Raw genomic sequence first — 15,253 nt, forward strand, 5'->3', positions numbered from 1 at the left:
TTCCATCAACATTTACTGAGCTCTTACTGTGTGCCAGAGACTATGACAGGCACTGGGATGCAAAGATGAAAATGGCATGATCCTGGTTCTCAAGGGGCTCACAGATACATCATCAACTCCTCTGTAACAGAGGCTACATTTGAGTGAGCAGTGAAGCCCATTTGTTAAGTCTGGGCTTAGCTATCATACTGCTTGGATTCAAATCCTGACTTCACTTCTTTCTGGCCACATGACTTTGATGAATTTTTCTAGTCCTCATCTGTACATTATAGGCAATAAGGGTGGCAGTACAAGTAGCTAATCTTCGTTGTACCCTTACTAGGTTCTAGGCCCTGAGCTCTTTCATGTGGATTATTACCTCCTTTAATCCTAACCCTTGAGAATATGTTTATTGTCCCCATCTTCTATATAAGCAACTTAGGTTTAAGAGGGTTAAATTATTTACAAGCAAAGTGGTTGGTGGGGATGAGGATGCCTACCTGCTGTGTGTGACAAGCCCCGGGCCTGTCCAACTCTATCTCCTGGGGCAGCACCCACCTGGCCCTTGGCTCTGAGCTCCAGGGGTCAACAATGACATGAAGTACAGCAATCCAATGCAAACCACAAAACCCAAGGTCCAGAGTGTATAAATTAAACACGTACCCCCTGCCTGAGAGAATAACCTCCCCGTGATTACTGCACTGTGAACAATGTTGGCCTTCAGAAGGGTTTCCTCCCTTCCTATCCTGTTCACACTCACACAGGATTATTGTCTGTTGGGCCTGTGGCAAACCCATAAGAAGAACCCACTCCTCCAGAGTGCTGGCCGTGGTTTTAGATCCAGGCTGCTGGTGCATGCCACCTGCCTAGGTACCCAGTTGCAGGATTTACTGTGCCAGGTGTGTCCCAAAACCACCCTGAGATGCTAACACTGACAGATGTGTTTCATGGAAAAATATATAGGCTGCTACACATGGGCAAGGAGAGAGGGAACAGAGAGGAGTAGGGGGAAAGGGGGGAAGGAGGGAAGGAAGAAGAGGAAGGGAGGACAGGGGAGAAAAGAGGAGGGAAAGGAAGGAAGGGGAGAAGAGGAAGGGAGGAGAGAGAGAGAAGGGCAGAAGCAGATCAGAAAGGAGAGGACTGCAAAAGAGTCTGCCCCATCCCTGGGCCTTTAAAAGTAGGAAGCAGTGAGCTGCTGTATGGTATTAAAAATTTAGTTTCAGAACAGATATTTTCCCTGTGGTCAAAGGAGGGAAGTAAACTTACAGACACGGTCTCGGTCCTGTAGGGGTTATGATGGAGGCAGAAGGAAGCGGAGACAGTGTTGAAGGAAAAAGTCCAAGTTCCACCCAGCAGGGCCAAACCCCTCTCCTCTCTTCCTGCAGAAACAATTCCTCCATGGTCACCCCTCTACACAGGAAGGTGCCCCAGCATCCACTGGACAAGTGCCACACAAGTGTGGGCTGCTGGTCTAATTGTTTGTTACCAAGGGAAGTACAGAACTGAGAGGATGGGATTGGAAACTTTTATTGCAATTTAATGCTATTGAGATAGCTGTGATCGTGGGACTTACTGGTTGTGGCACAAACCAGCTAGGGTGGTGTTGAACTTGAACTTGGAGGGTGAGTTGCATGTGGCCTGAGCTATGTGTTGTTGCTCATGCACAGACACACCATATACCAGGCTGCAATAGTTTGAGCAGTACTGTTGTAGAGGTTATGCAAATACCTCTATGGTCACTAAGTGGCTGCGCCTCTCTGAGCCTCAGTTTCCCTATTTGTACACTGGTGATAAATTACCTATGTCCAAGGGATTCTTGAGACATTAAATGTGGATGATGCACATCAAGTGTTCAGCACAGTAGCTGGCACAGAGCTTGCACTTAATTAAAGTCAGCTCTTGTCACTTGGTCATGGCGAATACAGCCTTCAAATTGGCTTGGAGCAGTGTCTCAGCACGACAGATGTCTGAAGAAATGAGCCCAGTCTTTCAGGCTTGACCCAGAGCAAGCCAGGGATCCCCAAGTACAAGACAGAGGGGCTGGTCAGCAGCCAGGGGATGAAGATGGCAAAGCTCACCCCCTTGGCTGGGAACAAGCAAATCGATGGTGAAGGAAAGCCTCAGGTCCTCAAGCGCTCTAAAAGCCAATAATAAAATTTAAAAATCAATGAGGAAGCTGACGGCAAGCCGATGACGGGGCCAGAGGCCAGGAATGATGTGTCTCCAAGTGAGGAGCAGGCAGACAGCCCAGGCGGCAGGGCTTCCAACCAGAACCCCAGACCCAGAGCCCCGAGCATCCTGGCGCAGACGCCTGGGATTTGGCAGAGATCCTGCATCCCTGGACGGCGCCTCCCCACGGATGCGGGAAGCACAAGTGGGAAATGAGGCTGTCCAAGGATTAAGACCCAGACCCCCAGTGCCGTACTGTTCTATTCTTCCTGTCTTTGGAGGAGTGCAGCCAAAGCCTGGGAAATCATATTTTACAACATTGATCCCAGCTGCACTTTTTTTTTTTTTTTAATTGGACAGGCAATGTGGTCTGGCACAGAGAGATTCAAAGTATTTCTCAGCTGAGGGGTTATATAGATTCATTTATCTGTGCAAACATTTCTTGAGCCCCGTCAATCTATCAGGGACTATGATGAAATAGGACAGTCTAGAAATAAGGTTCTAACCATGAGTTCGTGACTGGCAACGGAGACAGTGGATGAATAAACACTTGCCATCCAGTGTGGCAGGTATAATAGCTGCTTTAGTGAGCCCCCACAGAGGGTGTGGGCAACTCTATCCGGGGCAGAGGTGGGTGGAGACACTGCTGAAGACAGCCCGGTCCTTGCCTGTTCACACTCGTTCTCGGGACACGGTGGGCAGTGGGCTCACGGTGGCTGCTCACGGCAGAAGAGGGAAGTGGGCTCATTGGACTATTTCAGGAATTTTAGTAGTAAGTGTGGGAATAAAACCTTAAATGGGCCATGAAAGCTGAAGGAGGAGAAAAGGGAGATGCTTAGGATATAGGAGAAAGGAAGAGAGAAAGAGGGAGAGAGAAGGGGAAAGTCCTTAGTCCCAGTTTTGTAGTTCTGTTCCCTTGGCTGTATTTGGCTTCTGTTTTTGTGAATTTCCGTAAGTTTCTACCAGGATTCCTGAGAATAAGCAACCTTGACTAGAAGTAGTGGGAGTGGCTCTCTGATCCTAACAACCCAAGCAGTCCTCACAAAACTCTAGGAGTGATCCTGGAAGGCAACATTAACTCACACAAATCCAATGTAGTCTCTCACCAAAACAAAACAAAGAGAAAAGAGAGAAATAACAATTTGAGTATTGTGGCTGATGTCATCCTTCTGCTTGAGTATAAACCTTGGTGTGAGTGTGTACCTGGAGAAGTGACCCTGCCTGTCCCTCGGTCCATGAACTTCTCTTGGTTTGGGGACAGGAGAAAGAGAGAAAAGGAGAGAATAATTAGCAAAAGCACAAATGAGCATCCCCCATTTTCATTTCTATTGCCAAAGCGAATCATTTATTTCAACTGAGGCACTTGGTAAATTAAAGCCACATGTAAGTTTATTGTGTTGATTTCATGCTGTAACTCTTGAGAGCAAAAGCACCCAGTCTCAGCCTTGGGTTTGAAGAACTGAAGCCGGTAATTAACTCATAAGGTCTTAAACTAACAAATGACTTCCTTTACAAGTGAAGTGTCAATCGAATCTTGATTCATGAAGTCAGTAATTGGCCTTCTTGGCTTCACATTTAGTCCAGAGCCATCGGATAAATAAATACATTACAACATGTCCCTGAATTGCCTCTTTTTCAAAGATAAATGTCAGACGAACAGATCAAAACCCAAACCCAATATACTAGACCTGGACTGTGGGAGAATGGGTAGAAAGACAAGAACAACATTCAGAGATCAGAAAGATCTTAGGGTTTCTGAATGACTTATCTACTGGAATTAAAAACGTTTTCTCTGAGCTGTTCAGGGAGAGGGGACAGTCAGGTGCCCAGGTGCATCATTTTGTTCATTTTAAATGTGCTAAGTGGAGCCGTGAGAACGGTTGCCTTGTGGGCCAGGCAGAGTTCACAATTTAACAGCTGGCAAGGTGTGAGCCCAGTGCTAATGCACACAATATTTTCCCCCATCTAAGTGCACAGATTGAGCCCCTGCAGAGGCTTCTCTGGAACAGATCGACATTCAGGCTCTGACCTAGGCTTGGCAGGTTTCAAGAAAGGACTATAGAAGACTCTGCCCCCAGCAAGTAAAAACTGAGCAGCCCTCAGCAACTTACACATTTATCTCACATTGCAAGATTTAAGTCTGCCATAGCTTAGATGTTTGTTTCCAGAAACCTCATGTTGAAATTTGATCCCCAGTGTTGGAGGTGGGGCCTAATGGGAAATGTTTGGTTCTGGGGGGGCGGATCCCTTACAAAGGGCTCAGTGCTATCCTCCCAACAGTAAGTGAATTTTCGTCTTATTTAACAACTACGAGAGCTGGTTGTTCAAAAGAGCCTGTACTGCAGTAGGACTATTTAAAAAAAAAAAAAGTGAAAGAGAGAGAGAGAGAGAGTCCGGTACCTCCCTGCTAGATCTCTCCCCATGTGATCTCTGCGCCTGCTGGTTCCCCTTTGCCTTCTGCCATGAGTGGAAGCAGCCTGAGGCCCCCACCAGAAGCTGAGCAGATATCAGCACCATGTTGCAGAATCATGAACCAGATAAACCTCTTTTCTTTAAAAATTACCCAATTTCAGGTATTTCTTTATAACAACACAAACAGACCAAGACAAAGTCTAACCCTGAATCAAGCTCATTTGTGAAATTAACAGTAAACATTCATTTTCCTGCTGAAAGGATCCAAAACATGTCACTTCAAATGATGCCGCTTTGGCATAAGGATGTTTTTGAGGTGAAGGCAACTGAGAATCAAGATATGCAGGAAGAGAGCTCATACTTTCTGATTTCAAAATTTACCACAAAGCTACAATAACCAAGAGGGGTTGGTACTAACATAAGGTCAGACACAGAAGCCAATGGAATAAAAGAGAGTACAGAAATAAATCCTTACATTTAAGGTTTAATTTGAGACAGGGTCTCACTCTGTCGCCCAGGCTGGAGTAAAGTATCATGACTTCAGCTCACTGCAGCCTCAACCTCCTGGGCTCAAGCAATCCTCCTACCTCAGCTTCCCAAGTAGCTGGAACTACTGGCACATGCCACCATGCTTAGCCAATTTTTTTTTTTTTTTGTATTTTTGTAGAGATGTGGTTTTGCCATGTTGCCCAGGTTGGTTTCGGACTCCTGGGCTCAAGCAATCCACCGGCCTCGGCCTCCCAAAGTGCTAGGATTACAGGTGTGAGCTGCCACACCTGGCCCAGATTGATTTTTTGACATTCTTGCCAAGACAATTAAATGGAGAAAGAATCATTATTTTTCCACAAATAGTGCAAAAGAATGAAGTTGCACCCTTTCATTACATCATCTACAAAAATTAACTGCAAATGGATCATAGACCTAAATGTAAAAGAGAAAAAAAACTCTTAGAAGAAAATATAAAAGAAAAATCTTCATGACCTTAGATTAGGCAGAGGCTTCTTAGATATAACACCAAAAGCATAAGTTACAAAAGAAAAAAAATAGATTGGACTTTATCAAAATTAAAAATTCTTCTGCTTCAAAGGATACCATCAAGAAAGCAAAAAGACAACCCACAAAAACTGAAGAAAATATTTGAAAATCGTACTTAATAAGGGACTTATATCCAGAATATGTAAACATCTCTTATAATAAAAAAGACGACTCACAATTTAAAAGTGGACAAAATATACAAAGAAATATACACAGGGCCAAGAAGCACATGAAAGGATGCGCAACATCATTAGCCATTAGGGAAATGCAAATCGAAACCACAGTGAGATTTCACATCACATCCCCTCGGGTGATCATCAACAAAAAGACAGCAAATAAGTGCCAGTGAGGATGTGAAGTATGGTATGGTGAAAAGAAATAAGGATGGTACCTGAGTAACATCTCAAGAAGGGTGTTAAACTATATGTAGAGTATGGTTTCACATATATACATATAAAATAACCCATCTATACATATGTGGATGTGCATACATTTGGATGTAAATACCTAAAAGGAGGCTTGGGAAGGTGTGCCCAGAGCTCTGAAGTCATTTATTCTGGGAGGAAGGGGAAATCAGAGCACCAGGAAAGGGGTTTTTGGTCATTTTTATTTACTTCCACATTCTTTCACTGTACTCAACAAGCATGTTATCTCATATTACCAGTGTAATAAAGTTTTGGAGGAGAAAAAAAAACAAACTCCCAATAAGCGATGTACAAGGAATCGTCTGCAGGTGGCATGGATATTTGGAGAAGGGAATCATCATCATGGTCTGACAAGATGAGGGCAGAAAGTTGGTGGAAAAGTTATTTGATTTGGAGAGGGAAGGTTGGATGGCACTTGGCCGGGCAAGGAGTTGAGGATGTGGAAATTTAGATAGGAATGGAGTAGCATTGTGATGAGTCCAGTACCGCCCAGGTCTCAGTGTTCCACAGCAGTGGTCACCAACCTTTTTGACACCACGGACTGGTTTTGTAGAAGACAATTTTTCCATGGACCAGCAGGGGTGGGAGATGGTTTTGTGATGATTCTAGTGCATTACATTTATTGTGCACTTTATTCCTATGATTATTACATTGTAATATATAATGAATTAATTATACAACTCACCATAATGTAGAATGAGTGGGAGCCTTGAACTTGTTTTCCTGCAACTAGGCAGTCCCATGTGGGGGTGATGGGAGACAGTGACAGATCATCAGGCATTAGATTCTCATAAGGAGCATGCAACCTAGACCCCTCACATGCTCTGTTCACAATAGGGTAGGATTTTCTATGAGAATCTAAAGCTTCAGCTGATCTGACAGGAGGCAGAGCTCAGGTGGTAATGTGAGTGATGGGGAACAGCTGTAAATACAGACGAAGCTTCGCTGGATCACTTGCTACTCACTTCCGGCTGTGCGGCCCAGTTCTGAACAGGCCATGGACTGGTATCTGTCTGTGGCCCAGGGGTTGGGAACCCCTGTTCTAAAGTGCATTCATTAATCAGCTTATACTCATTATTGCTCTGTTCTCATGAGGAAACCGCAGGCGGATCTGTCAGTATCAGATAAGATTTTACAGAAGAAAAAAAGGCAAGGAAGACAGGAAGGGCAGGAGAGAGGGAGGGAGGAAGGGAGGAAGGGAGAAAGGGAAGAAAGGAGAAGGAAAAAAGGCAGGCAGGAAGGAAGACCAAAAACCAAAAGGTGAAACTCCAGTGTCATTTTAATGACCAGACCTGTTAAACAATAATGAAAAGTGTTGAAATTTCTAGAATTCTCTGGATTTTATACAGTTCAGTTCTTTCCTCTGAGAGAAGAAAACTCTCATAGCAACCAAAATAGTATCATTTTCCTTGCTAATTCTGTTTTTGGCATCACCGTCTAGTTGGACTTCATAATTGGGTAAAAGTATCTTTCAGAACAGTCTGCAGCCTGGAGTTGTGGCTTCCTTCACAAAGAAGTGTTGCATAAAGACAGAAGAACACGTCTGACCTCACCTCCTGGGTCATCTTTAGTTTGATCTTTGGGATGATTCAGGCTCAAGTTTCTAGTTAGTTTTGGCCTTGGGCAGCTCATAAAGAGCCCGGCTTTGCTTTCAAAGTATCCAGATGCAGAAGAATTAACCAAGTCTGTTGTGCATATGCACTAGGTGCAGGTATAACCTAAGTCATAAGAATACCCATCCATGGTTTCTGGAAACTTTTTGTCACTTCACTCATACTCCTGGGGTGGAAGTGAAATAAATGACAAGAGAGAGTCCTTGGAGGAACAGGATTGAGATTACTCCCTGAAACCCTCGATTTCAAAGCAGGGACAACATTAGTAAAGAAGAGTCAGGCCCATGGTACCAAAACATTAAAAAATATATATATATGTATGTATGTATGTATTTCAATAGCTTTTGGGGGTACAAATGGTTTTTGGTTACAGGGATGAACTGTATAGTGGTGAAGTATGAAGGTGAGTAGTGTACATTGCACCTAATACGTAGTTTTTTTTTTTTCCTTCACCCTCGTCTCGCCCTCCTCATTCTGAGTCTCTAAAGTCAATACTCTGTATGCCTTTGCACAGCCATAGCTTAGCTCCCATGTATAAAGGAAGAGCACATGGTATTAAGACATTATTTAAAAACTTGGTCTGGGCCAAGTACCATGGCTCCTGCCTGTAATCCCAGCACTCTGGGAGGCCAGGTGGGAGGATCCTTTGAGTCCAGGAGTTGGAGGCTGCAGTGGGCTATGATCATGCCACTGCTTTCCAGCCTGGGTGACCCTGAGTGATACCCTGTCTGTAAAAATGAAAACGAAAGAAACAAAGCAACAACAAAATAACTTGGTCTGCCGCTAAATATGGACTTGCTGGAGTCACAATCTTGTTTAAACTAATTGGTGGGGTCCCAAACTCCATCAAGCTAAAGGAATTCAGACATTCAGACAGCGTGAGTATCCATCCCTTTGAATTAAAAGTGAAATCTTTGCTTTGCAACAAACAAACAAACAAAACTCAATCAAACCTATGTTGTAAGTAGTTTCAGCTGTGGGGTATGCTTTTATCAGAAGCAGAGAAAAATTAGTTTTTAAAATGCAAGCATTTTGTAAATGAGACTGAGAGATGTTTTGGTTTTCTTTCTGAGACGAAAGCATTTCTAAATAGTTGTCCTTGAACCTGGATTACATTTCTTCTTCCTTGAAACCCAACAGTTGACATTGATAAAGACAATATAAACAGGTTGCAATCTACTGCAAGGACATCACTCCCAACCTTGAATATATTTTAAGGGCCTTTGATCAAAGGAGGAGAAAGTAAGCAAACAATTCAATGTAATACCCACTACTTGGTTTATCCCAGTGGGCAGCCACAGTGAGCAACAATCTGATACCACTCTCTAACACACCTGTACTACCTCAGTGGCTGACAAGTTCAAATTAAGTCAATATGATTGCAGAAAATTAATTTTTCCAATTCTTGGCTGTTGTCACTTTCCCCTTCCATGAAAATTAATGCAAAAAATTCCTTTCAAGTTATTAATATGAAAGAATAGCCCAACTTTTATGACTGAAAGGCTTACCATCATATCTTTAAGAATAATGATACAACTTAAATATTGGGAGTTGTGCGGGAACCACTTCCCTTCATAAATGTGGCCTGAACAAGATGGTTAAAACACCAGTTAATCTTTATATTCAAGGCAAATGAAAGGAAAAGACTTGCAGATAAATTATTTTCTCTATAGCCAGAAGCAAAGTGTGTACAATAAAGCACATACTCCTCAAATAACAAGAATAAATCTATTTCATTTTTCCCCTTGCATACCATGCTTATTGAACTAGGGCCTTGTTTGACAAGCTCTCTGTTCTGATATAAACAGTGCAAAGATGAACACAGTTCTTCTTGCTCATGATTAATATATTTGGGGAATCAAGTCTGAATCACTTAGGTAAATCATTTCAGTATATTCATGGTAAGGACAAATTTTCACCCTCTTATCTGAAGTACAGTCTTTCACTTCTATTACCCTAAATAACTACAGGGACTTTTACCTCAAAGTTATTCCTAACAAGAGAAAATTTTCCAGTGATGTATTATCTTTTTAATCCCTAAAGGTAGAAGATAGAAAATATACATCTGGGATGTGAACAGGACATAGAAAATCTACTGACCAACCACGAAAAATGTTACAGGTCTGTGGTTCCAAGAAGCTGAGGGAATTGGGGGCATGCATGCCTGTTTAGATGAGAGAAGCAGGCCAACTGATAAATAAAACCTATGTTTGGAATACAGCTGAGTTCCCTTTTATAATATGTGGGGTCAGGGATAGGTTTTTCATTTTTTTAATTTTTATTTTTTTATTTTGGAAACAGGGTCTTGCTCTGTTGCCCAGGCTAGAGTAGAGTGGCATGATCATAGCTCACTGCAGCCTCCTGGGCTCAAGTGATCCTCCCACCTCACCCCTCTGGTAGCTGGGACTACAGCCACACACCACCCATGCTTGGCTAATTTTTTATAAGGAAATGGTCTCACTATGTTGCCCAGGCTGGACTTGAACTCCTGGCTTCAAGGGATCCTCCTGCCTTGGCCTACCAAAGTGCTGAGATATGGGTATGAGCCATTGTGCCTGGCCTAGGCTTAACTTTAGATATTTACTAGTTATAAAGGGAGAATTTGCTAAACAATCAGTATAAACAAGAAACCAGAATATTTACCTGTATCAAAGAACAAGGTGGAACCTGAGCCTCTTGAGCCAGCAACATGCAGAATTCAAAAGACTGAGCTTCTACATGGGAGCCACGGCTTAGGAAGAGTGAACATTTGCTTAGTACTTTACGGTTGCAAAGAGCTTCCCGCTAAGGCATCTTGTTTGATTCAGCTCCCATGTCAACCTTGGGAGAAAAGATTTTTTTTTAAAAAAGAACTAGGCTGGGAATGGTGGCTCATGGCTGCAATTTCAGCACTTTAAGAGGCTGAGGCAGGAGGATCACTTATGGCCAGGAGTTCGAGACCAGCCTGGGCAACATATTGAAACCCTGCCTCTACCAAAAATTAAAAAATTAACTGGTACGCACCTGTAGTCCCAGCTACTCAGGGGGGCTGAGGTGGGAGGATCACTTGAGCCTGGGAGGTTGAGGCTGCAGTTAGCCGTGATCATACCACTGTACTCTAGCCTGGGCGACAGAGCAAGACCCTGTCTCAAAAAATAAAATAAAAGAACTATATTCATTATACAGATGAAGAAACATAGCCATACATAACAGACCTAAGACAGGAACCCAGATCTTTGAAACCTAAATCCACTGTACAAACTTTTGTCCCGAAATAGCTCCACAGCAGGTCAGCCATCCTCTCTGAGTGTGTCTCCATTTGTAATGTGGGAATAACAGCATCTTACAACAGGGTTGTCATGGAGATAGGATGAGATAACTTATCTGATGGGTATCAGTTAAGATGCTTTAGGCTATAAAGTAAAAGAAAAATCCAGTTTAGCATGGTTTTAAAATAAAGCAATTTATTGGATCCTGGGCCTGAAGAGTTTACAGTGAAGGAGGGGGAATTTCAGAATTGGGTTGGTATAGAGGTAGCTGGTGAGCCAGGATGGGGCTTCATTTCTCAGGCAGTCTCCTGTCTCCGCCTTGCTCTGTGTATTGGCCTTGTGCCCGGGCTGGCTGTCTTCATGGCAGAGAGATGACTGTTGCAGCTCCTTGGCTGCATGACTTCTCCTCTACAGCACAGCAAAGAGGACGGCTTCCTTTCTCCCAACCATCTAGCCGAGTCCTGAGCTCTGCTGTATTGCATGAACAGCCCCACTGCAACAAGTAACTGGCATGGAACATGGCAAGGAGTGTGGCTGCTACCCCAGGGGATAGCAGAGGAATAGTTGCTGTACAGGCAGCCAGGATGACGGCCATGGTGTGTGAAACACACAGTACGGTCATGAAGCACACCAGCCCTTCGAAAGCACTCCAGGTGTCCCAGCATTTGATGCTATATTTCTGTCATCCTTTTTTTAAATATATGAAGCAGATTCTTTGGTCGGCAGCACTTATAAGCCTTATTAAATGTTAATGTTAATTATCTTACCAGGTAACATTTACTGAGAACTTACTGTGTGCCTGGCACTGCATTAAGCATTTTGTTAATTCTCAGTTAATCCTCACTCTGGCCATTGTGGTAGGAAGTATAATTGTTCCTATTTTTACAGATGAGGAAGCCGAGGCATAGAAAGGCCAAGAAATTGCCCAAAGTCATATAGAGAGTCAATTGAGGAATTGACACTAGTCTTGCAATCTGATTTAGAGATCGCTTTTTTTTTTTTTTTTTTGGAGACAGGAAATCTCATTCTGTCACCCAGGCTGGAGTGCATGGCATGATCTTGGCTCACTGCAGTCTCCACCTACCAGGTTCAAGTGATTCTCCTACCTCAGCCTCCCAAGTAGCTGGAACTACAGGCATGTGCCATCACACCTGGCTAATTTTTTGTATTTTTAGTAGAGACAGGGTTTTACCATATTGGCCAGGCTGGTCTTGAACTCCTGACCTCAAGTGATCTACCTGCCTCTGCCTGCCAAAGTGCTGGGATTACAGGCATGAGCCACCATGCCCAGTCTAGATCCCATTCTTAAATCACAATCTGGTCCATGTTTTTTTATAAAGCAGAACAGCATTTCACAAGAGATCCTGTAACTTATACTTTTCACTTTCTCCACTGGTCAGTTTAGAACATCATTCCATTACCCACGTCATATCATTAGTGTTGTACTTAGAAACTGTCTATTCCAGTGGGATGTTAATCCTGAGAATTACATCATCAAAGAAAAAAAATGATAGTCCCGTTTGAGGACATCAGTGTGGAAAACACAATCTACCTCTCTACCAGTAGATGCCAAGAGGGAAGGTTCCACACAACCTCTCCCCCTCTTCTCCCACATCATCTCACCACTGTCCCCATATCAGCTGCATTCACCCCCTTGATGTTCTGTGACCAGGAAAAATGTTTTGCCACCTTGCATTTACAGTTCCTCCTTTCCTTAAGGTCTCTGCTCAAAAATACTCTTATGAGAGAAGAAAGCCTCATCTCTCCTATGTATAGCACCGCCTTCTATCTCCTGTGCTGTGTTACTATGATTACTTTTTTGTACAGGATTTAGCTCCATTTGTCATTAGACCTATCACTGTTGATTGTCTCTTTGTATTCCCTCACTAGAAGGCAAATACTTTCACAGAGGGACTGAAGCCTTTTGTTCACTGGTAGGTCTCCAGCACTAGAATAGTGCCCGGCATATGCTTGGTGCTAATGTAGATCAAACAAATAAATGAATACTTTATCACATTTCTTAGAGATTTATAATATCCAGCATACCAAAAGCTCAAAGAATTCCTGCTCATTTAAAATGAGTGTTGCCCAAATCTGACCATTTAACCCTTTTGGTGAGGAAAAAAAAGAAAAAAAAAACCCTACTAACGTTACAAATAATTAAGGATCACTGGAAATCACTTTGGGAAACTCTGAACTGCCATCCTCCCATTTTACAAGTGAGGAACCCATGCATCTGAGGAGTCCGGGGTGCTTCCAGGCTACGCAGGGAACCAGTGGCCCTCAGGACAGAGCCCAGCTCTCCACTCCCTGTTCTGGATACATTGGCTCCATCCCCTCCCCAAGCTGCACTGATTGAAGATCAGTGGGGCTAATTATACTGGACACACAAATCAATAAACCCATCAGTGAGTATTAATGGGCCATCTATTCTGTGCCCAGCCATTGGCACCTGCATCATGACACCGTGAAAGCTCTGATGACACTTTTACGGGAGATACAATTTTTCAAGAGCTGCTGATTGATTCCTTGAAGACAGGGGTTCATGGATAGATACATTTTCCTGGACAGGTTTGGCTTCATTGATCCTTGCGACTTGCTCATCCCGTTCTTGCCATTCTATTTTTTATATTTTATTCCCATTTTCACCTCCTTGGTACAATTATTGACCGAATGGGACAAGACCTTCTTTGTGACCTATAGAAAATGCTCTACAGCATATATGGGGAAAAAAATGAAGTTGCTGTGTGGAGAGAGCTGGAGAGAATGCCAGGGACCATGGGCCCTTGCAGCTCAGTCCCTGGATTTTTCTTGAAAGGTAGCACCTCCCCAACATTACTTTCTCGCCTCCCACTCTACCACAATTGGACTTTGTCCCCTCTCCTCCAAAGCAGCTGCTCCTGTCAAAAGCACAATGTCTTCCTCCCTGCAAAAGCACTTCTCAGACTTTATCTTACTTGGCCATCCAGCAGCTCCAGACACAACTGGCCACTTCCTGGTCTTTGGAATGCTTCCCTTTCTTGGCTTCCGGAATACCTCACTGTCGTTGATTTCTTCTTACCTCACTGACCTTTCTCCAGTTCCCAGTAGTGGCTCCTACCCCTCTATATTCTCATCTCTAAATTTGGGAGTGCTTAGGGCTTGGTCCAGACACTCTCCTTTTCCCAGTCTAGGTGCTTTCCCAGGAAGACTGATGGGATCAATAGCTCTAAATATCATCTTATCAGCTGTTGACTTCCGAATCTGTATTTCCAGCTTTGTTCTCACTCCCACCACACACACCTCTCCAAAATCGTGTAACCAAATGACTACTTGCCTTTTTTGTTATGTTCCCTTGAACAATTACTTAATCTCCTCAGTTTCCTAAATGGAAAAAGGTGTAAGTACTAACCTCATAGGGTCGTTGTGAGGATTAAATGACTTAATCTATGGAAAGTGCCTAAACCAGTAAGCACGAAGCAAGGGACACTAACTGCAGTTACTCCACCTCTCCACTGAAATAGTTAATGGATATACCCAAACACAATTTTGGATTTCCCCACCCTGCACCCCACTCCAACCTCCAGGGTCTTAGTGTCTTGTCACTCGCATGTGGGACCCGTAATAACTCCAACAGGGATGACACAAGGTTCAAGAGGCCGAAGGAGAGACCTGGAGGCAGCCAATGAGACCTAGGGTTTTACCAGTGGGAAAGCTACGTACAGCGATGGCCCAGCAACAACAGTCAAGCTGGGCAGGAAAACTGCAACTGCTTAAGGGTGCAGTTCACATAGCATCCTCACTTAGCATCCTCCCCCTAACAACCTCCACCTGGCAACCTTCATTTAACCCAAAACAAAGGCCTCCATCCACTACACGGCCATGTTCTACAGGACAGGCTGGGAGTGCAGGTGTTCCTTATAGACAAGGAATGACTCTCCCGGTCGGCCACGTGCAGAACTCCGAACACACATTCAGGTGTGTCTGCCATACAGGGTCATCCTCGGGGTATGTGTAAGTTAAATTATTGCTATCAGATGTGTCTATCAGACAGTCACCATTGTCATAACAACCACAAACTAAAAATCTCAAATAATTAGAAAGGTTCAAGAGCCATCGCTTGTGAAGAACATCTCAGGGTGGGGGTGACAGTCAGCCCTGTTCACCCATCATTGCATCCAGCAAGGGTCCTGTGCCTCTTCGGGCTCTAGTGGGATGAGGCATAAATGCTACAACTCAGTGAACCCAAACCCCTTGTTCCCCCAGACCCAGGAAATGTAAACCTCCCACCTTGCATAGTCTCCCCTATTTAGGTAGCTCAGTCCTTTGCCAGCCAGAGCTTGGATTTTCCTCCTCTAAAAGATTTGTTTTGTTAACCAATCCTCTGGGACAA

At 43.7% G+C, this 15,253-nt stretch overlaps 1 annotated feature.

Moving 5' to 3' along the window:
• Positions 1,721-2,512: an enhancer, noted in NCBI's record as "H3K4me1 hESC enhancer chr3:71956813-71957604 (GRCh37/hg19 assembly coordinates)". NCBI's record gives its function as "activates a minimal SCP1, AML or CMV promoter by ChIP-STARR-seq in primed H9 embryonic stem cells {active_cell/tissue: H9 hESC(primed)}" and the evidence as "EXISTENCE:reporter gene assay evidence [ECO:0000049][PMID:30033119]".

The sequence above is a fragment of the Homo sapiens genome, chromosome 3 (assembly GCF_000001405.40).
Source record: "Homo sapiens chromosome 3, GRCh38.p14 Primary Assembly".
NCBI lineage: Eukaryota > Metazoa > Chordata > Mammalia > Primates > Hominidae > Homo > Homo sapiens.